Here is a 24,195-nt window from a genome sequence, read left to right as displayed (position 1 = left end):
AAAACTGAGACACAGTTTAGGTTTTTACATCTGGCAATTCAGTCACTTGTCAAACTATTCCATAAGGTCCATAATCTCTATACTATAAAAATCTTAAAAGTTAAGCAGATCCTTAATTTTTAAAAATACAGTCTAAGCATAAATTTGTCACACTGAATAGAACAAAGTAAAAACTACAGGGAAGGAAACAGAGGAAGTTAATATGAAATGAAGTCTAAATTGAAAGTCTTTTCTGTGAGTTTAAAAATAGGCATTTCCCTGCCAATGAAAGAGAACACATGTGAATATTCATTTAGGACTATACAGTCTAGTTTGCTTCCTCAAGTAAGTGAACTAACAGTTATAATTTGCACAGTTATCAACTTAAAATTTTCACTTTCATCTTCCATTTGAAAACTTAAAGAATTTCAATTACCCATACTAATCAAGCTGTGGAGTAATGTATACAAAACTCATAGTCTAAAAAGGAAGTTTCAGTGGTAGATTTAGTTTGAATGAGGTATTTTTCCCAAGAAACTTTACTTCTGTTTTCCAATAAATAATTATTAGGAAGCATTTATGGTGAGCTCACAGCAGGGCTAGTCTGTAGCAGAGAAATGTATATATTATGATTCTCCCCAAAGCATGCTTATAATCTGATTGGAGAAATGATTTGCACAGATATGTAACAAATTCCCCCGGTTCATCCTGCATACTCAGCTAGCATGCCACCTCCTCCAGTAAGCCTTCCTGGACCTCCCAGACAGAGCCAACATCTCCCTCTGTGGGTGGCCCATCACAGGATTTACACTCAGGTGCTGTAATTACAGACTCATTTGCTATCCCTTTCCTGATTGGACCCAGAGCTATGTCCAACCATTTAGCATGAGGAAGTGTAATGTACGAATTTAGTAAAATGGGTGAAGTAGAAAGTACATCTATTCTCCTTCCAACCTCAAACAGAGGACTAAGAATTAAAATGCTCTCTGAAGCTAACATCTGGTGGTCAGATACTCAGTAGTCCACATTGTGTCTACTTCGTTAGAAGCAATCGAACCTGAGACATCTGCTTTAACTAGTACTCTCAGCAGCACCCATCGTATGACCTCCTTCTTTCACTCCTTCATACGTAATCTATTCCTGAGTACAATTTATTTCATTCTAAAGCTCTCTCCAATATTCAATTTATCCTATCAGCTGTACCATTCTAGTTCAAACTATTATCTCTCATTTGGACAAAAGAAATCTTTCCCCAGTTTTTCTTTTACCCCTTTCATGCTTCTCTCTTCACTGAAACCAATGTGATATTTTGAAGATTCAGATCAGATCAGAGTAATTCCCCTTCAGTGGCTTCTCACTGCTGGGAGAAGACCATGATCTTTAATGTCACTTGTAACGTGATACATGAATCTGCCCTGCTAGTCTCCCCGGTTGCAAATCCTACCAATTTCCTCTTTGCTTCATGCACTGAGTTATACATGTACTCTCTCAGTTCTTTCACCATGCTAAGCTTTATATCTAACTTAGGGCCTTTATATCTGCATTTCTCTCTTCTTTTAGTCCTCTTCTTCTCTGCATCACTACAACTGCCTAGCTCACTCCATTAATCCTTCAGACAGCAGCCCAATATTCTTCTTCCAGGAGAGCTTTCTCTGTCCTCCTGATTAAGTCTGATCTCTCTACTCATTCAACAGTCGTATGTTTCCTTTAATACCACTCACTGAAACCTGTAACCATATACTCAAATATGTGATTATCTCTTTAATCTTTCTCACCCCTACTATATTAAAAGCACCACAGAGATTAGCACTGTTTTGCTAGACATATTCCTAATGACTATTGTAGGGCCTACCATATAGTAGGTCCTCCAACAATCCTTCTTGAAAAAATTAATATAACGTTCCAACAAAAACCATATTGAAGAAGGATGAGTAAAACAAGAGGAATATGAGCTGTTAGTAAGAACAAGGACAAGGGGAAAGAAGTTACTAGATCATCTTGCTGAAAACTGAAAGTGGGGAGTGAGAGCTGGATTTAGAGTTTAAATATAGGTTAGACAATCTGGAATTTAATTCAGAAATAGAGAGACCTTAGTAGATTCATTAAGAATTCCCCATGTGATTTCCTTTCCCCCAAGCATCCTTGATTTATGAAAGATAAACAAAACTGACAAATTTTAGCTGCACTATTTAAGAAAAAAAGACATAAGATTCAGATAAATAAAATGAAACTCACGCCTGTAATCTTAACACTTTGAGAGGCTGAGGCAGGAGGATTTCTTGAAGCCAGAAGTTCAAGACCAGTCTGGTCAACATGGCAAAGATCCATTTCTCAAATAAATAAAATTGTAAATGAAAGAGAAGACATTACAGCTGATGCCACAGGAATAAGAAAAATCATAATAAACTACTATGAACAATTATACACAAACAAATTGAATAACCTGGAAGAAACTGATAAATTCCTAGAAACATAAAACATACCAAGACTTTATTACGAAGTACTACAAAGTCTGAACAGAGCTGTATAGAGATGATATCAGTAAGCAAAATCTCCCAAAAAAAAAAAAAAAAAAAGCCCAGGACTTGATGGCTTCTTGGGTGACTTCTGTCCAACATGTGAAGAAGAATGAACATCAATCATTCTCAAACTTTTCCAAAACTATTGAAGAGGAAGAAACACTTTTAAATTAATTTTATGAAGCGAGCATAACCCAGATAACAGCCAGACAAAGATGCCACAAGAGGCCAGGCGTGGTGGCTCACGCCTGTAATCCCAGCACTTTGGGAGGCCAAGGTGGGTGGATCACGTGGTCAGGAGATGGAGACCATCCTGGCTAACACGGTGAAACCCCATCTCTACTAAAAATACAAAAAAGTTAGTCGGGCATGGTGGTGGGGCCTGTAGTCCCAGCTACTCAGGAGGCTGAGGCAGGAGAATGGCGTGAACCCAGGAGGTGGAGCTTGCAGTGAGCCAAGATCGCGCCACTGCACTCCAGCCTGGGCGACACAGCGAGACTCCATCTCAAAAAAAAAAAAAAAAACACAAGAGAACTACAGGCCAATATTATTGATGAATATAGATGCAACAAATCCTCAATAAAATACAAGCAAACCAACACATTACAAGGACCATACACTATGACCAAGTCAGATTTATCCCTGGAATAAAAGGATGGGTAATCTAAAATTCAATTAATGCGATACATTAATTGATGAAAAAAATTACTTCAACAGGCACAGTAAAAGCATGTGATAAAAGTAAACACCTTTTTATAAATAAATACTCTGAAAAAATAGAAATAGAAGCAAAGTAGCTCAACATAATAAAAACATATGTGAAAAGCCTAGTTGTTAAATCAATGGTAAAAACTGAAAACTTTTCTCTAAGATTAGGAACAAGGCATGGATGCCCTCTGTCCTCAATTCTATTTAACATAGTACTGGAAGTGTTTGCAAAATTAGTTAGGCAAGAAAAAAAAAGGCATCCAAATTGGAAAATAAGTAAATTGTTTCTGTTTCCAGAGGACATAATCTTATATATAGAAAACCCTAAAGACTCTATTAAAAAACTGTTAGAACTAATAATGAATCAGTGAAGTTACAAAAAGCAATTGCATTTCCATATACTGAAAACATACTCTCTGAAAAAAATTAGGAAAAATCTCACATACAATAGAATGAAATAATAAAATAATTAGGAATAAAAGAAGGGGAAGGTTTATACACTGAAAACTGCGAAACTTTAATGAAATACATTGAGATGCAAACAAATGAAAAGACATTTGTGTTTATGGATTGGAAGACATACTATTTTTATGATATCCATATTCCCAAAAAGATTTGCAGATGTAACGCAATCCCTATTAAAATTCTGATGCCATTTTTCATAGAAATAGAAAAGAATACTATCTAAAATACATACGGAGTCATAAAAGACCTTGAATAGACAAATCAATCTTGAGAAAGAACAAAGCTGAAAGCATTATACTTCCTGATTTCAAAAAGTGTAACCAAGTTACAGTAATTTAAACAGTATGGTACTAGCATAAAAACATATATAGACCAATGGAACAAAATTGAGAGCCCAGAAATAAATTCACACACATAAATAGTCAACTAATCTTAGACAATCTTAGGGTTGCAAAGAATATACAATGGGGACAGGATAGTCTTTCAGCAAAGATGTTGAGAAACTAGATATCCACATGCAGATAAAGTTACAGTAATTTGAACAGTATGGTACTGGCATAAAAACATATATAGACCAATGGAACAAAATTGAGAGCCCAGAAATAAATTCACACACATAAATGGTCAACTAAACTTAGACAAGATTGCAAAGAATACACAAGGGGGACAGGATAGTCTTTCAGAAAAGATGTTGAGAAACTAGATATCCACATGCAGATGAACACAGTTGGACCCTTATATTATACCATACATGAAAATCAACTCAAAATGGATTTAAGGCTTAAGTGTAAGACCAGAAACTGTAAAATCCCTGGAAGAAAGCATAAGGGAAAAGCTTTAGGACTTTGGTTTTGTCAATGACTTCATGGCTATGACACCAGAAGCATAGGCAACAGAAGAAAAAAAAAGATGAATGGGACTACATCAAATTAAAAACCTTCTGTACAATAAAGAAAACAATCCTCAGAGTGAAAAAAACAATCCACAAAATGGGAGAACATCTTTACAAAGCATATATATGATAAAAGGTTAATTTCCAAAATATATAAGGAAATCTTACAAGTCAAAAGCAAAAAAAAAAAACCTAACAACCAGATTTTAAAACGAAATGAGTTAAATAGACATCTCTCTAAAGAAGTCATACAAGTGGCCACCAGGCATATGAAAAAGTGCTCAGTATTGCTAATCATCGCAGAAATGTAATTCAAAAGTATAATGAGATATTATCTCATACCTGTCTGGATGACATATGAAAAAAAAAAGTCAAGCTTATTAGTGAGGATGTGGAGAAATTAGAAAACCTTGCACACTGTGGGTAGGATTCAAAATGGTACAGCCACTGTGGAAAACAGTATGGAGGTTCCTCCAAAAATTAAAATAGAACCATCATATGATCTAGCAGTCCCACTCTCGACATTTATCCAAAAGAATTAAAATAAGGGTCTCAAAGAGATATTAGCACTTCTGTGTTCATTGCAGCACTATTCACAGTAGCTAACATGTAAAAAAACTGTAATGTTCATCAAGAAACGAACAAAGTTTAACATGTACATACAATGACATATTAGCCTTAAAATAAGAAAATCTGTCACTTGCAACAACATTGATGAACCAGGAGGAGGACATTATGCTAAGCGAAATAAGCTAGTTACAGAAATACGAACGCTTCATGATTCAACATACATGAGGTATCTAAAATAGTTAAACCTATAGAAGCAAATTGCAGAATTGGGGTTGCCAGGGGTTGGGAAGAGGAAGAAATGGGAGTTGTGAATCAACAAGTGTGAAGTTTTGGTTATGCAGGATGAGTAAGTTCTAGAGATCTGCTATAATCCTAGTGTCTGTATTTATTTATTTATTTTGAGACGAAGTTTCACTTGTTACCAAGGCTGGCATGCAATGGCGTGATCTCGGCTCACTGCAGCCTCTGCCTACCGGGTTCAAGCGATTCTCCTGCCTCAGCCTCATGAGTAGCCGGAATTCCAGGCGCCTCCCACCATGTCCGGCTAATTTTTTTTTTTTTTTTTTCAGTAGAGACAGGGTTTCACCATTTTGGCCAGGCTGGTCTCAAACTTCTAACAGCAGGTGATCCACCTGTCTTGGCCTGCCAAAGTGCTGGGATTGCAGGCGTGAGCTGTGGTGCCCATCTGAGCCTATGTTTCATAATGTGGTATTGTACACTTAAAAATTTGTTATGAGGGTAGTTCTTATGTTAAGTGTTCTTTCTATTAAAAAAAAAACAAAATTTTACAAATGAAGATGTCTTCTGTTACCCCCACATAACTGATTGGGCATACATAGGCCTCGGAGTCTTCATTATAAACTTTGCATAAAGAATGAAGAGGACAGAAGATGAATACTACACGTGTGATAACATTGTATGGTCATGTGAAAAAGGTACTAAAATGGAACAGCTAAGTGTGAGATTCAACCTAATAACTAATATCTGTTCCCCTTTTGCTAATAGGTATTTGTGTAAACAAGATAAAGTGAAAACGAATGGCAGGAATGTAGTAAATTACCTAAACACGTGTTTTGGTGCAAGGAATGTTGTCAGGAGGAGAAAAGGCTGAGTAAATAAGAGAAGTTTTCATAACAAACATGGGTCCTAATTAGAGAGTTGGGATCTTCCATGTGTCAGAAATAGCTGGGAGAAAGACTTTCATAAAAAAGCATGAGATAAATAGCTTTCTTATTCTTAGAAGATTAGAGAATTAGAAAATTACAAGCATCTTGGTTACCTCCATTGACATTTGCCACATAGACCCAGCCAGTCACAGAGTTTCAGGGTTAACAACTGGATATTACCAAAAGAAGTGGATCTTTTGAAACTTAATAATTTCCCTAAAATGTAAATGGAAGAAATGCTGGCAGTGAAGCAGTAAATAAAGGAGGAAGGGACCGTTTGGAAAGAGTATTTTCTATGTGGTTTTCAGAATTCATTGACTAGGGTTTATTTTGTATTTCAGGGCTTATCTTGTATTTCAGGGCTTAAGTTTTAATTTTTCTATTTTTGTATTTTTTCTATGAATGATGAATTATAATAGTGATTGATTTCTCCATTGCATTTCTCCACTTACAATCAATATTTGTTTTAACTTGGTTTTCTTTGTTGTTTTCGCAGATTGCCTGTTTTACTTCTCACCATTGATTTATGTTGCCAAAACAAAGAGGTCAGTAATTTGTGGCCAAATTCTTCTTTTACTATTCTAAATTTGAAAATTCCAAAAATGAAGCAAAAGCAGCATTTTGTCAGCTTTCTGGCAGAGATTCTCCTGCTAGACAATCATTTGTGTTGTTTCTGAAAAAGGAGAGCTAAGAATCTTACTAATTTGGACTATGTGACAATCTTTATTGCCAACTCCAATGTGTTAGAATTTCAACAGTTGAATTTTCTTCTGAAACGTCAGTATTCCGTGTGCATGTGGCTTTACAAAAAAGCATCAATCTCCTTATTCAACACTGTAAGCATTCGTCAGATTAGCTGCTTTCTTCTTAAGCCAAATATATTGGTTGTGAAATTCAGGTAGGATCAGTGTGGCTTGAGTAGCCAAATTATGGATATTGGTAGCTGTGTGTTGAATGAATCTCTTCCTCTTTTCTCGTGTCCCCTCATTTCCAAAATGCTTTCCATTTCATCTTTTTCCCACCTAAGCATAATTCCCTATTGGTGTTAGTTAGAATTTGGAAAATAGGAGTTCAAAATATCCTTTGCCAGCCGTACTACAATTTTGGGAAGTAATTTGGCATGCTTGACCTGGTATCTTAACATCCTTTACAACTTAACCTATGAAGGGAAAACATTAGGCTACCTACTAGATTAATCCTCCGTAGTAATCCTGCAGCAACAATTTCTGGCACTTTATAATAATACACTTCTCCATTCTCTGTATAACTTACTTCACTCTTTTGGTGCTGGTAGGATCAGACCTCAATATGGTGACTAGGATGGGTTCATAGGCAAACACAGGTCGGAGACAAGGATGTTGAATCTGTTTCCTGCTGTGCTGTCCTGACCAAGCTTCTTTCTGCAGTGGTTTCTTCTGCTGACCTTTCTATTTGCATATTTCCAACATTCCATATAATGAAATGATGTCATTGCATTGCATTGTCTGTATGGAAGAAATGCGAGAGTGTACTTAGAAGGCACAGCATAGATTCATGTTTGTGGAGTACAGCCAAATTTTAAAACTATTTTTAAAGAGTCATCACGTTTTATTTTATATAACTTCAAAGTGTTGTTTCTGTATGCTGACTGAATATTGAATTCTAAAACTTCAGCTATTGTCTTCAGTAGGATAGAAAAGATTAATTGCTTCTTGGGATTTGCTGTTCTTTTTGCCAAGCTTAGTGCAAATTTGGGGATGATGGTATTACATTAAGCTTTCTAAGATACAAAGACACACCTGGAGATTTCCAAGCATGACAATGTCCTTCTATTTGCTCTGAGAAAGATAGATTTATATTTCCAAATGGGGGTTTATATCAAACATCATAAGTAGAAAATTTCTAATGAAACAACAGATATTTTATTAAATAAGGTAATAGTGTATGCATAATACCTACCACCTAATAGAAACCTTTTAGGAAATTCAATCAAACATTTTTGTTTTCTAATCTAAGCTAGCAATTATAGAATAAAATTTCAGAAAAAAATTGAGAACATGCCTTTTCCATTTTAGAAAGATCGAAAAAGTACAGCATTTCCAATTGCCTGCTATGAGATTTTGTATTTGTAATGGACTTTTGGAAATACTTTATTTCCTATTTAAATATTAATTAGTTATGAAATATTAATTACATAATGAAATTTCATAAAAGTTTAAGAAATTGATAATCATTAATTATAATATTCTTCTAGAATATTATGAAACTTACTCTATACTCAGAAAATTTAAGTGGCAGAAGTTGTCACAATCTACTTTTCTGCTCAAGCAGCTGTACTTTCAATAATTTTATTTTAGAGTTGAAAGAAGACTTTACAGGATCATTTTCCTTGGTTGTTTCACTTCTATCAAGTTAATATTTTGGTGACTAAATGGATTTCAAGCACTTTTTTCAAAGTCATAGAATTTGCTTCCATGTTGAAGCAATTTCACATCCCAGAAAATTGGCTGAAATAGAAAATTTTATCTTTGTTAGCAATAAATCAACAAATTCAATTAGGGAAATACGTAACTCCAAAAATGTGACGGCACACTATAGTTGGCTTACAGTTTTTTATAGGATCAGCAACTTAGGGTAGTACAAATAAAATGTGCTCAAATACATTGTTTTTTAAATGGGCCATAAAATACCATTATTCAATCAGCAGAAAAAAATTGTCAAGGGTATAAATTGTTATGTGGGCCCTGAAGGTTTAATCTAAGCCTGAATCTTGGTTGGCAGTGCACCTGACAGCTTACCCGGAAGCCTAGAAGGATGAGCTCTCCAAGGACCACAGGTGGAGAAGAACAACTCTCACCCAAAGTTAATTGCACTGACCTGCCCTTGCATTAGAATAATACAAAGCAGATTATGAGTTCTACAAAATGGACATTGGTTTTATCTTTAGTAAAATATTTTTATCTGGATTTTCTCAAGTTAATATATAATTTTATAAGATATGGTGACATATGGTACAACTATTAGAAAAGGTTTGTCTTTTGGAATTTTCACAATTCTATTTTTATAATATTTCCTTGAAGTGAGATATAGTTTTAGCACTGGGCAATGTTGGTGTACAGCATATATATATATATATATATATATATATGTATATATACACACACACACACACACACACACACATATACACATTCATACACACACAATGGTTCTTCACTACCTTGTATGTGTGTATGTATATAAAACATATACATGAAACACATTGCTATATATGTGCTATATATATGAGAAACACACATATACACATATGAAACATATATGAAAAACACATTGCTAATATAAAATACAATGGCTGAGGAAAAAACTTGGTTAATTGATTTTAATTTTTAACACAGTTTCATTAAATAATAGGTTAGCATTCTTAGAGGAACCATTTGTCTGTAAAAATCATTAAAAATATTTGACCCTGTTAAGACGTTATGTTACTTTAATACATATTATTATAATTTTTAATCCATGGTTACTATGACACACTTCTGTGAATATTGATCATTTGAAAGCAGCATAAGTGTTTCATTTTTACAGCTTAAATTTGCTGAACACAAATGTGAAGGGGGAGCCCTGATAGTGTATCTTTGTCTCTCTCTTCTGGGATTATCTCTATTCAGTTTATTAGTCCAAGTAAGGGAGATTATTTTGAACACTGTATCCAAAGAAGTCACAGTTTGCAGGTGACAGGGACAGTTTCGTACACAGGTGATCAACGGGGGAGTAGAAGGCCCCCAGTTTACTTATGTCCGTCCCACTGGCCATTTGAGAGTTCCCCAGTGTGCATATCTTTGGACATGAGATGGCAGATGTTACTAGGATGTTTGAGAATGATATTGGCAAATGGAGATCCAAAGGCAAATAATCAAGTTCATGTAGATCTAAGAAATATACAATATGAAGTATTAATATAAGAACAGTGCTATTAATATGAGCAAAATAAGAGAATTTGGAAGAGGGTAATTATTTCTCTCTCAATCTAGGAAAGCCTGCCCTACTCAAGAGAGAATGTGGTGCATGAATTCTAGGTAGCGTCAAAGGTAGAAATAGAAACAATGGCTGGAAATTATAACAAATTCAATATGAAGAAACGTATAGAGAAGACTTCATGATTTCAGTGGTCCAAAATGAAATGAGTTGCAACAGGGGATAATGATGCCTTTGTCAAAATGGAGAACTTATGCACAAGTTAAAACCACATGCTGGGGATAACAGAAAAAATAAAGCTAACCCTTACATGATGTTGTATATGTCAGGCCCTAAGGCCAGTGCTTAACATTATCATTGCCTTTAATGCTGACAACAATGTTAGATGATAAATTCTTCCATCACCCCATTTTAAAGATGAAGCTAAGAAAATTTTAAGTAAATCAAAGGTCATATAAGTAGTACTTGTGGAGTTGGGTTTTGAATTTATGTAGTTTGGCTCCAGAGTTCATTCTCTTAACTGTTAGACTATATTCATTCTCAGAGTGGTTTGTTCCTATTGCTGATATTAATGTCGTATAAATATTTATATAGTAGGATAGAAATGGGGGTCAAATTAGTATAGAAAGGAAAAGGAAGTCAGAAAAAGTGGAATGTTGCTGCGAATACCACTCAAAATAACACCTCAAGTCAGATTTGGAAGACCCCCCCAAACAAACTTCCATATATTTTAGGCTAATCACTGTTTATAGATTGTAATCAAGAATGGAATATCAGCCTTCCTCAGATAGAACATTGTGAAATAAAATCTAACAAAGTGAACTCCAAAGGAATCTATTTTCATCATTTCCTCAATACTCTGTAGTTTTCCACACCTTAAGTATAACTATATCCGCCATATTGGACCCTATTTTAATGTTCAGATCCTTGAGTGAGACTGATTTTTCTTACCTTACTCCTTCTTCCATGTTCTCCATATACTTGTTACTCCCATTTAGCCTCAGTTCCCTTGCTTATGTTCTCTATCAGTATAAAATAACTTCCTTTCATTGAAATCCTACCTCCCCTACCAGGGCACGTTACCTTTGATCTCCTCTTGAAGGCTTTCTAAAGTTGCCCACACCATTTTTTCCTCACTCTGCATTATGAGTATAAATAAAGTCGGTAGGTTTGGCATTTCTTAGTTCTATAATTCATTCTCTCCATGTACAGTGTAAGCTGTCATATATACTTTGACAGCTGTAATTCAGTACAAATATTTTTGCGACTGTGGGTAGCTGCTAGTTATTTATTCTAAATGTCTTTAATGGTCTGTTGCTGTAATTTCTAGAGAGGTTAATAGTGAATAGTGTTCCTCCTCTAACAAATTTCTGTTGGATCTTGAAAAATGTGAAAGAATACATTATCTGGTATTCTGGTTGCTTGCTTGCTGGCTCTCAGCTTCATTCAAACCCTTCTTTGCTTTTCTATGGCAGGGAGCTGGAAGAATGCCAAGCAGTTTTCCCAGGCTCCCTTGCTAACAAGTTTCCAGTAAGATTTGGCCAATGCGAAGCCCTTGCAGGACATTTTTTTTAAGGAGAAAGAAAGAATAATTATTTATTTTCTGTTACTGTGGTGTCTCTGGTTGCAGTGATAACATGGGGAGGTGACTATGGGCTCTGAGAGCAACTTCAGGTGACAGGGTCACCAACATGTCAGTAGGGGTTTCAGTAGCATCCATGGAATCCATGTTCCTTTGTTTCTGCAACATCTTTAGCAGATCAGCTGGAGGGATGGCTGGTGTGTTGAGTCTTGAATTGAAAAGACAGCCCTGATAACTAGGTAACATTCCCTTCATTCCCTTCTCCCTTTCACTCTTCCAATATTCCTTTTCTTCTTCTTTTTTTTTTTTTTTTTTTTTGGTTGTTTGATTTTTGCCCTTCCAACAATTTTGTAGTTTATTCCCTGCTTTTGGCCCCTCTTCTCTTGCAGTATCTGGAGTGGTTCCTGTTTTTATTACTTGACACTGACCAATTCTCTCTCTGGTGCTGGGATCATCTCTTCTACATCTTATCTAACAAGTATCTATTCTCTACTAATATTCACCTATTGAGGTGAATGTTACACTCGCGACGGTACATCCTGGTTTTTCAAAAGCTTCCATTTAAAAAAGTTTTCTATTATATTAACTTTAACTCTTCTTCGCTGTATTTTCCTTTCAATTCTATTAAGTGGTTTCAGAACAAACAACAAGTAATATACCCCTTGTCCATGACTGAATTCTGAGACTATTAGAGTTGGATCAAAGACACATAGATGCACTTAAAATTATTTACTCAAATACTGACAAACCATGTGAAGAATGTAGATTCAGATCTTTGACCAAATGGACATGCTGATATTTGACACATTATATGAAATTTATCCATTCAGTTACTGACTCAACAGATTCATTATTATTCATTTGTTAAATGTTTGTAAGTGTTTGGTAAACACTTCTGAAGCCCATCCTATAATCCAGGCAAATTTCCAGATACGTGGGTTGATACCAGTGAGCTAAATAGATTAGCTCCATAAAAAGCAGAAGAGGAGAGGCTGAGGTGAGCACATCTGAATTTTTTGTTCCAAATCCACCAATTAGAGGAACCAGTCCTCCATTTCCAACAAGAGTGAACAGGAATCATGGAGAGATACCAGAGGCTAGCGGAAGTCGAGGTGTGGGCGGTCTCTTTTTGGAAACATGAAGCAGAGAGAATGAGGCTCCCTTTGGCTTAAACTAGGCATGGCCAATATTAAAATGCAAACATTGTAGGAGATGTAACAGAGCAACCTTATGTTTCATTTAGATATCAGGCTTATATTTCTATGAATAGCTTTTGTAAATGGTCATCAGTTAAAGACTCTGGAAACACTGGAGGTAGTGATTTTCAAAATCATTAACAGTTTGTCATGAATACTGGCCAGCCTGAGGGGACCCTGGCGGTAATTTTCCCTATGGCCACACCAGTCTATCAGGTGAACCTTGTCATTGGACACGAAATAACTGAGGAGAGAAGCTCAAGGCAGTAAGTGATAAGGAGGAATTTGGAGTTACTAGAGATAGAGTCACTCATTTTTGTTTACTGACACCTGGCCCAAACGCAACTCTGATTCTAATTTTAATAAATTATACAATCAAGAGTCACTTTCACTCTGAAATCTAAAAGATTGCATTCAACTTTTAAATTATTTGGGAACATAGTCACTTTCCCATACATTCCAGAAGTAACTTTTTATTTGAAACTCTATTAAATGTGTATTTTGCTCCTTAACTGACTAGAGTTCTGAGCGGGCTTCTAGCTGTGCAAGTAATCTTTGATGCATATGCTTATTCTTATTTTAAATTATGTTATCATTTCATATTTTTATTCTTATTTTTATGTCTTATTTTATATTTATAAGTGTTATGGAAATATTTGATGCAATTCAAATAATCTTGACTTGTCATTATTGTCAGTACTAGTTCCTTGTAAGGCATTTTTTTTTCGGAAGACTAATTTGTAAATATTGTAAAAATTTTAATAGCTTGAATCGTATATACAGCTAACTAAAAATTTGCATTAATGATTGGTGGGGCTTATGTCATTAAATCAATGTATTGAGCTCCTTTTCTTTGCAGAGGCTTTAGACTTGAGAGGGTCCTGGAGTCTCCAGGAGTGAGGGTTTAACATGTAAGCCAGGAATATCCTTACAAAGATGTGCCCATTTTACATATAAAGAAACTGAGTCCCAAAGAAATTCAGTACCCTACCTTAGGTCAGAGACCATGGAGGAGAGCTAGTATCTGAACCATGTCTTAGCCAGTTTGATGCTAGGATGGGATGGGGGTGAGAACTCAGGCCCTTGGCGCCTGTGATTCCAAGTATGGCCTGGGTGTGATGGCTAGCTGATTGGGGGTGGGATGGGATGGGATGGCCGGGTTTAAAGGCCAGCATCTTCCTGCCTGCAAACCCCCATCCAGCCTTGATTCCAGGTCAGCAGGCTGGGGAGGATAGCCCTATACTGGACTACTTGGAGCTCCCAGGCACTGCTTGTGGCCAGCCCTGCCAAAGCGAATCACTTAATCTCCTGGAGCTGGAAACCCGGTTAGACCCAAGTCTGGTCTGGAATGGAACAGGCACCCAGTCTGGGCCTCTTACTCCTCCATCAGGTAGAAATAATTCAGTGGCTAACAGAGGAACTCTGTGTCTCATGCTCAGCACTGCACTTGGAACAGAAGACCCCCAAGACCCATGCCTGAATCATCTGTGTTCTCCATAGCCTCTGCCAAGCCAGGTCTGAACTAGGACAAGGGCTCAGGTAAATTTGTGGCAGTGAGCTCTGGAAGGCCAGAGGACCAAGGAAGGAATGTACCCAATGAATCTGCCCTCTGCTACAGTCTCCTAAATGGAGTTAGGTTATTGCTTTCACCAGGTGACAACCCCTAGAATTTTAATAGCTGCACCCAAGGAGCACCAATGAAGGGAAAGCAGGGATGGGCCAAGGTGATGGGGAGGGACAAGAGCTAATAGCCCCCACTAGCTTGGCTGTTCCTGGCAGGTAGTGCTCACCTAGTGCTGCCACCTGTACATAGGGTCTTGTTTCCCACTTTATGCAACTAAGACCTAACAAAGAATCCTTTTGGCCTTCACTCTGCCCCACCAAATCCCTTAGCCCGAGTCTCTGGATTGCCTGTCTCAAGGCTCCAAAACCCACCTTATTCCTCCTGAGGTTCCTTGGAGTGCAGCTTGTGGGGATATTGTCATGCAAGCTGCTCTGCTGGACCTCAGTAGCCCTTCTTCAGGAGCCAGGCTTTGCGCTGCTGGTCAAAGTAGCCCTTGACCTGCAGGGTACCTGTCAACTCTTTGGCCTGGGTAATGCATGTCTTTGCCAGCAGTGGACTCAGAAAATCTTCCACATTCTTCTGCGGGGCCCAAATATGGTCCTCCGCGCTCCCGACCGGTTGTAGACAGGGATGTTGTATATCTGAGAGTGCTGCACTAAGTAGGGCAGGTTGGATGGGGGTCTTTGAGAGGCTGCCAGTTACTAAGACTGAGATAATGTTCATGCTTTGGGGGCATTAAGACGCTGGTAGGGAATAATAGACACTCCACAAATTGGTATTCATACATATACTCTACAAACCTGGGGTAATCTGGAGACCCCTGAACCTATCTCAGCTATATGGTGAATAGCCAGACTGGATACTGGCTCTCCAGTCCAGCAGTGCAGCCCAGAACGTGGATGTTGCCCTGTTCTGGCCTTGGGCTCTAAGACATTTTTCACTGAGGCCAAAGCTATTAAAATAAATTTATGCAAAGTTGTTTCTGTTTTGTAATGCCAAATATTGTGACTATATAAAACTTTTTCTAGATGACTGTCTTATTTATAATTTTAATATTTTCAAACCCTGTCAAAACATGATTTGCTTTTATAATTAGAAAAATAGTTGCATTATTTAAATACTTCATACATATAATCTTGACCCACTGGATTACTTTGTTTTAAGTCTGGCACATATTTATTAAAATAGAATTGGAGAATTTTATAGTAAAAATACTTCTATTTGGTTGCATTGTTTTAAGAAACAACACAACTGTATTCTCAGCTTTTGTTAAATAAGTGTTTGCTTCAGCTAAGAAATTAGGAGATTTATTCTGAAGTCAATAGTAAAAACACAATTCCTTTCTAAGCTTGTTGCTTACAGGGTTTTGCTGAGGTGTATTGATCTAGGTCAGTGTTAACGTAGCTTCATAGCCAGGAAACTCAACACAGATAAATAAAGGGCAACTGCTAGATTTTTAATTAGAAAAATATACAGCAATGGCACTATTGTCTTGACATATATATATGTGTACACACACACATACATATATACATATATATTTTAGTTATATAAACAAAGACCTTTGGATTTCACAACTTATTTTGTATTATTAATTTGAATTTCAGTATTTGATGATTTAGTCTTTTAAAATGTTGTACAATCATAATATATAAGGAGATATTAATTTGTTAGCTTATATTTTTAACACCAAAAATTGTGATCTTTAGTATAAAAAAACTAACCTGCCAAGTTATAAGAACTAGAGCTGTGATACAACATAGAACAAACCTTGTTTTTCACAGGTTTTCTCCAAATTCTCCAAATTATTATCTGATATTGAACTGATTTTATTAAGAAGAGTGAAGTGATAGTTCAACTCTACTCAGACAGAAGACATGTACTTCCAAGAAGACGGAGTTTGCAAAGATCACATTAGCACATATTCTGTCCATAGATTTTCTACTGTGATTTAGTTGGATAAGCTTATGCTACACATTAGTGTAATAAGACTAAAATTATTGATTTGTATGAAATGTAAATTAAGTTTTAAATCTTTATCATTGGAAATGGGTGGTTTATATTTTTGTTTTTTTCTTAGTTCAGGACCACTTGAATCCCCCCAGGAATCCACTGCAATTGTTATATTCCATTGTCAGTGAGTGAGAAAGAAAAGAAGGAGGATGGGTAAGAAAGGGCTTGGAGAGTCTGGGAGCCTATGTGAGTCTGTGTGCAAAGCATATTAACTCTGACTCTGCCCAAAGCTTACAGAGAAGATATTCAGGTATATAATAATACTTTATCTAGCTATGGGATATATGGGAGCCAGTATGTTATAGTGGTTAAGAATACAAACTCTAGCATCACATATGGGTTCAAATCTTCCCTTCAGCTCTTACAATCTATGTGGGTTGGACAGGTTAACTAATTTTCCTCCGCGTCAGTTTCCTTAGTTTAAAATAAGCATTTTAATGGTCTCTAATGTAGAGGCAATAATGCTGATAGAAGCCTCTTATAGTAAGCACATGATAGTAATTTATATTCCCTTTCAAGTGTTGGATACCGGAATGCAGTTATTCAGAAATGATCATCATTGAGTTGATTCATTATTGTAAATGAGTTCAGCTTCTCTCTGACCACCTGATTTTGTTACCAGTCCAAATTGATTATAATCACCTTTGCAATTGTGGCTTACTCATTATCTCTGAAAATAAAATTTGAGTCTGTGCATTTAAAAGAAGGAATGACACAATTTTTATTGAATGAAGTTAAATGAAATTCATCTCATTTTTTTCTTTTCCTCATTTCAGAAACTAAATTGAGATACTAAAATGTGAGATAAAAAACGTTTCTATGTTTAAATATTGTTTACATCATGTCCTGGAATAGAATGAGAGTTAGAAATAAATACATATGCCTTTGTGGTGCATAAATAAATGCATAATGCCTTATGGTATGCATTAAATGTTTCTTTATTTAGATGTCAAGTTATACTGATATACCATAGCTCTTTGAAAATGAATAATTGGTCCTTATAAAAGAGGAAATTGGGATACAGAGACAGGCCTACAGAGGAAAAAAACTGAAGACACAAGAATTGAACAGCCTTGTGACTGGAGTGATTCATCTACAAACCAAAGAATACTTGGTGCTACCAAAAGCTGGGAGAGGGGCCTGAAAAAGACCCTTACTGGGATCTTTCACAGGAAATGTGCCCTGCAGATACCTTGATTTTGGACATCTAACCTTCAGAACTGTGAGACAATAAATTTTTGTGTTCTAAATCACCCAGTTTATGGGACTTTGTTATAGCTGTCCTATCAAACTAATATTGGACTTAAGATCACGTTTAAACAAGAATTGAGAATTTTAGATTCCTTTCCTACCACAAGCAGAAAGAACAAGAATCTTTAGGATTTTTCCCTGTTTCTCATCAACAACCAGCTAGCACTAAATGTGAAGTTGCCATAAAGCAAATTTGCTATATGTAGATTTCATGAGGGTTGTTTTCTCACACAGTTTGTTTTCACCTTCCCAAGTATCTAGGACTTTAAATTAAGAAGAAAAAAAAATCTGTCCAGAAATTCTTGGGAATGTTGTATGTGATCAACAGAATTTATCAATTGTATTAGTTTTCTGTAACTGTTCCAACAAATTACCATAAACTTAGTGGATGACAATAATACACATTTATTATTTTACAGTTCTGAAAGTCAGAGGTCTAAAATCAGTCAGTGGGCTAAAGTCCAGGTGTAAGCAGAACTGATTGCTCTGGAGGCTCTAGGGGAGACTCAGCTTCCTTGCCTTTGCCACCTTCCTATCCATAGTTTTCAGTAGGTGGCTTCTTAGTCCACATTTAAACATAGCAGCGTATCAACTTCTAATCTCTCTGTCCTCTCTCTTTGCTTGTATTGTCAGATTACATTTACTGTCTTTGAACTGTAAGCCAAAAATAGGATTCTAAGCCCCCCAGTCAACTGAATGAACCTCTCCTCTTGGCCCAGGGCATTCCAAAGAAAACCTGAAAAACTAGTTCTGGCCATGATGGGAAGGAGAGGTCAGATGTGTCTCATTATACTCTCCTGTCTTTGGAGTTCGGGGACAACTGATCATTAACATTAAAACAGAGATCTTAAGACTGACTAAACAGACTCTCTAGCAATAAGATACCAAAATCCAACCTGACTCTGGTACAGCATCACATGACACATAGCAGGCCCTGAAAGAAATCAAAGTATTTTACCCCCAAATATATTTCTTTTACCTACTTTGAAATGGTCCTGCTAAGCTGTCTTTTCTGGGAAAAATCTACATTCAGTAGAGAACGTAGATTCTCTACATGTAGACCCTTTACAGGATGTTTCTTGATCCAGGAGAGATTAAGTGTTTGGTACCTTTTTAGATCTGATTGGAAACATTTCCCACGTATTCTCTCTGAAGCCTAATACTTGGAGATTTCATTTGCGTAATAAGCACCTTGGTCTCCACAGCTCCTCATCTCAACCCGGACACTCCTTTCTATTGATTCCAAGTCTTTAGATAATAACTTAACTCTCTCAACTAATTGCCAGTCAGAAAATCTTTGAATCCACCTCTGACTGGAACCCACCCTCCCCCACGACCCCCGCCCCCCCAACCTTCGAGTTGTCCCACCTTTCTAGAACAAACCAGTGTATACCTTACATGTATCGATGGCTATGTTATGTCTCCCTAAAATGTATAAAACCAAACTATAGTGCAATCATGTTGGACACATGTTCTCAGGACCTCCTGAGGCTGTGTCATGGGCCTTAGTCAATCATATTTGGCTCAGAATAAGCCTCTTTAAATATTTTACAGTTTGACTCGCTTTGTTGACAGATCCTCCTACCTTTCTCTCATAAGGACCCTTGAAACTACATGGGGCCCACCCAGATAATACAGAATAATTTCTACATCTCAAGATCCTTAACTTAATCATACTGCAAAGCCTCTTTTGCCATGTAAAGTAACATATTCATAGATTCTGAGGATTAGGATGTAGATTTTTGGAGGGCCCTTATGCAGTCTACCACACCAATAAATATTATCTGCAAAATATATTGCTCTAAACGTCAATTAAATCTTAAACTTAAAAAAGTTGGTCTTTCAAAACTATGCCTCCAGAAAAGCCGACAGAAGAAACCCACAGACTTAGTGCACCTGCTATGTTCTTTTGATGAGAATCCATTTATTTCTTCTGGAAATATTTATGAAACATCTGCTAATTTATAAGCACTTTTTAGGTTTCTCCTTCATGCACACTAGCTGAGGAGGGAGACTATAACAAGTAAACAAATAAATAAATGCTACACTTTCAGGTCTTGAGAAGTGCTATAAGACAGAAGATAAAGTAAGGGAACTGATAATGAATGATGGATTACTATTTTAGATGGGGACATATCTCTGCAGTAAGTGACATTTGTACAGGCTTGAATTAAATGAGGAAGGAAGAAAAGTAAATACTTAGGTATGGATTTTTTTTTCCAGGGAAGAAAATTTATATTAGGAAGTTGTTTGCATCAAAGACACATTGTTCTTAAGTGAGTGATAATTCTTTATACCTTAAAACAAGAAATTGCTTTTAATAAGTTGTCATGTCAAATATAGCCTAAGGGATTTTGACACAAAGTAACAAATGATGCTCCCTCAAATATACTTACGTAGAAATAGACTCACTTAAGGTATGTGTCCTTAGATAGAATCATATCCATAATCCTCTAAAGGAGTAGAGCTCAAGGTCATTACATAGCTCTTGCTCTTAAAAGTCCTGGGCCCATTTTGCACGAAATATTCTCTATTCATTGGGGTGACCTGTTATAGCATCTATAATATAACATTCATCATCAAAATGGCTTTGTTTGTATAAGTGATGGTGCTTGCAATCCTTAGAGAGAGCTCTTTTGCTAAATCAGGGCTAAGGTACTTCCTCATGCAGCAAATAAGCATGTCCAGAGCTGTATTGGAGAGTCAAGACTTCATGCTTCCTCTCTGCTTCGTAGTTACGTATATGAAATTGAACTGATAATGAAGCGCAATACTGTGTAAAGTCTCTGCTTCTTGTGAGTCTGAGTTGGCAAAACATTTCTTTATATTTCTCATTGCCTAATAATTTTTCCTAATAAGAGCCACCGATAGTATGTTATTATTCAATTTAATTCAGTAAGTCTTCATTTAAGGGCACCAATTTGTAGCACAAAATTAGATAGTATGCAAATGCATAATAAATGAGTGAAATAATTACTTTTTCAAGCGACTTATAATCTACTTGAATCATTTCAATTACAACTGCATAAATATCAGAACATCACTTGAAGAAGCTTCTGTGAGCTCGTGAGAATTTTACACACAGTAGGTTTTCAAGGATTGTTGGCTGAGAGTAATTGAGTCATCGCTGAGGCTAAGTTAGAAAATTACTAAGTCTAGTTCATTGTCCTCTGCTTCTATCCCCTCTGTTAATGCAAGAAATATAAAGCCAATTCAATAACATAAAGTCCGACCTGACAGGTCAAGAATAAATAAATATGAGAACTGTATCATTATTGTGCTGGGAGAAAATTGGAAAAACTGATTTAGACTTTCTATTATCCTTTAATAGGTAACACTTCAATTTTGAAAAATAGATTTTATTTTGTGAGGCTACGATCACTATAAAAGTCTAGGTTGACCTAGCAAGGAGAACAAAATAAGAATAAAAATGAATTGAGGATAATCAAATTTTCTACAAGTACTGACAATAATCAGAGTTTAAAATCTCATTAAATTCCTATAGATTAGAGCTGAAAGTGACTTAAATAACTGTGGTTATTTATTGATATATATGTAGTATAGTGATTCATTAATGTATGTAATAATTACTTTTGAAAAAGTATTTTGGAAATATTCCAAATTTTATATCAATTCAGAGCTCTATTATTTTAATATCTATATTCTTTTTGTTCTAATTTCTCTTAGAAAAAAAAAACATGGTGAATTGAATGCCCACAGTTTGATGTGAGGGTAATAATGATGGCTAACACTTATTGAATGCTTACTATATTTCAGGTACACAGGCTTTATGATCACATGCATTATTTCATTTATGTCTTTCAGCTACCTGAGGAGGTCCGTATTTTATAGCCTTTGTTTAATATATGGGAAAATGGGAGTCAAGGAAAATTAGAGTCCTTGCCTTGGTAATACATCCAGGACACAGGAAAATTGGAATTGGAACACCTGCCTGTGACACCAGTGCATGCTTTTAACAACGACCTTGATAACTTCTCACTTTTACTCCCTTCCTTGTTTACCCAGTCTGTCCACCTGGAAATGCTAGTTCATTAAGACTCAGATCAAAGGTCATTTCCCATCAGAATGTTTCTCTGACTATTCCAGACACAGTCTAATGCATCATCCTTTTCTGATCTGTAGAGAACATTAAAAGGTTGTTTAATTTTAAGCTTTTATATAGCTGAGAGAGTTATTTGATGGCAAAAAGTTCTTCATGAACTGGTAAGTACAGGATTACCTATGATGTGCAATTTATAACTAGAATGAGAATAGCTAAACACTCCTTAACAAAGAACTTTGAACACCTTTAATGATTTCGACGGATTTGCAGGCATCAAAATGGATGTAGTAACACAATGAATGTCCAGATAGGTAGTTTTGATTTCTGAAATTGCTCATTGTTCTGACTCTATTGAGAATTCCCCAATTTACACATCACTTTACTCAATTTGCTTCTCTCTCAATGTGCTGACTCTAATAGCAGTGCCACTTCTCCCTGCCTTCCCCATCCAAACCTCTCTCCCAGAGATAGCTGCTTTCCTAAGAAAATTGTTTTCAGCATATTCTTTTCTGCGTATTCTACCCCAATAACGCACAAAAAACAACATATTGTAGTTGTAGTAACTACATCTACCAGTAAAATTTCAAGATTGGAAGTATAAACCAATTAATGTAATTAACTTATTAGGCAACCTAAGGCTATTAGGAAATCACTTTGCTCACCATTGAAATGGTGTCATTGGGATGGTTTCCTGTGATGGGCAGCACTGAGCACCTTGGTGAGTATGCCTGGCTCTAAGATCAATTTAACACAGAAAGCTGGAACATGTTAAGTTGTATTAATACATAAAATAAAACAATGCTAATTAAAATACAATGAAAATATGTTGTTTGTCCCTCTTATCCTGGGGTAATAGTCTTGTGATTGAGTCAGAAAGCAATGCATTGTCTTTGAAGTGTTGTGTTTTCCTGACTCATGGTTACCTGGGTGAATACCCTGACATCTTTGGGACATCAGCTATGTGTGGGTGCTGTTGTTGAATCCAAACTGTGAGTGATTAGACCACAGCAATCTGCAGAAGCGAAGATCTGATAAAATAGGTCTATTTCTCAGATTATTCTGGGACCATTTTCTGCAAAGGGAAGTATTTTGATTGTTTAAAATGGTTGTGGTTACTCTTATTAACAAGCAATAGCTTTTTTCCAATAATTAAAAAATATTCAATAGCTTTATGTGTACAAGTGATTTTGGTTACATGGATGAATTGCAGAGTTGTAAACTCTGAGATTTTAGTGCACCATCACCCAAGGACTGTACATTGTACCTAATATGTAGTTTTTACCCTTCACCCTCTTCCCACTCTCCCCTCTTCCACATCTCAATTGTCAATTATACCTCTCTGTATGCTTTTGTGAAGACATAAATAGCTTACCTGCCACTTACGTGTAAGAACATAGGGTGTTTCGTTTTCCGTTCCCGAGTTATTTCAATTAGAATAGTGGCTTCCAGCTCCATCCAAGTTGCTGCAAAATACATTATTTCATTCTTTTTTATAACTCAGTAGTATTCCATGAGTAGTATTTCAATGTGGTGTATGCTTACCACATTTTATTCACTCATTGGTTGATGGGCACTTAGGTTAGTTCTATATCTTTGCAATTGTGAATTGAGAGCTGCAGTAAACATACGTGTGCAGGTGTCTTTTTGATACAATGACTTCTTTTCCTTTGGGTAGAAACCCAGATTGGAATTGCTGGATCAAATGGTAGATCTACTTTTAGTTTTTTTTGAGAAATCTCCATAGAGATTGTTCTAATTTAAGTTCCCACTAGCAGTGTATAAACATTGCCTTTCCACCATATCTATGCCAACATCTATTGCTTTTTGACTTTTTAATAATGACTGTTCTAGCATGAATAAGGTGGTATTTCATTGTGGTTTTAATTTGCATTTCCCTAATGATTAGTGATGTTGAGCATTTTTTTCCTATTTGTTGGCCATTTGTATATCTTCTTTTGAGAAATGTGTATTCGTGTCATTTGCTCCCTTTTTTGTGGGATTTCTTGTTTTTTTCTTTTCTCGCTGATTTGTTTGAGTGCCTTACAGGTTGTGGATGTTAGTCCTTTGTTGGATGCGTAGTTAGCAAATATTTTCTTCCATTCTGTGGGTTATCTATTTACTCTGATTATTATTTCTTTTGCTGTGCAGAAGCCTTTTACTTTAATTAGGTCCCATTTATTTATATTTGCTTGTGTTTTTCTTTTGGGGTCTCAGTCATAAATTCTTTGTGTAGGACATTGTCCAGAAGAGCTCTTTCTAGGTTTTCTTCTAGG

General features: G+C 36.1%; 1 long non-coding RNA gene and 1 pseudogene across 1 annotated transcript in view; one reads left to right on the top strand and one right to left on the bottom strand.

Annotated features, from left to right (window-relative positions):
- LOC101929028 (uncharacterized) overlaps positions 1-17,534 on the top strand; it is a 382,849-nt gene extending 365,315 nt beyond the window's left edge. Inside the window, exons 9-10 of the long non-coding RNA XR_007061175.1 lie at positions 6,796-6,844; positions 16,380-17,534. This is a non-coding gene — a long non-coding RNA (uncharacterized LOC101929028). The remainder of the gene's footprint in view (positions 1-6,795; positions 6,845-16,379) is intronic.
- Positions 15,037-15,504, bottom strand: MRPL49P2 (mitochondrial ribosomal protein L49 pseudogene 2; annotated as a pseudogene).
- Positions 17,535-24,195: the final 6,661 nt, after the last annotated feature.

The sequence above is a fragment of the Homo sapiens genome, chromosome 8 (assembly GCF_000001405.40).
Source record: "Homo sapiens chromosome 8, GRCh38.p14 Primary Assembly".
In the NCBI taxonomy this organism is placed as follows: domain Eukaryota; kingdom Metazoa; phylum Chordata; class Mammalia; order Primates; family Hominidae; genus Homo; species Homo sapiens.
The sequence above is the reverse complement of the archived record's forward strand: the minus strand, read 5'-3'. Positions and strand labels throughout refer to the sequence as shown.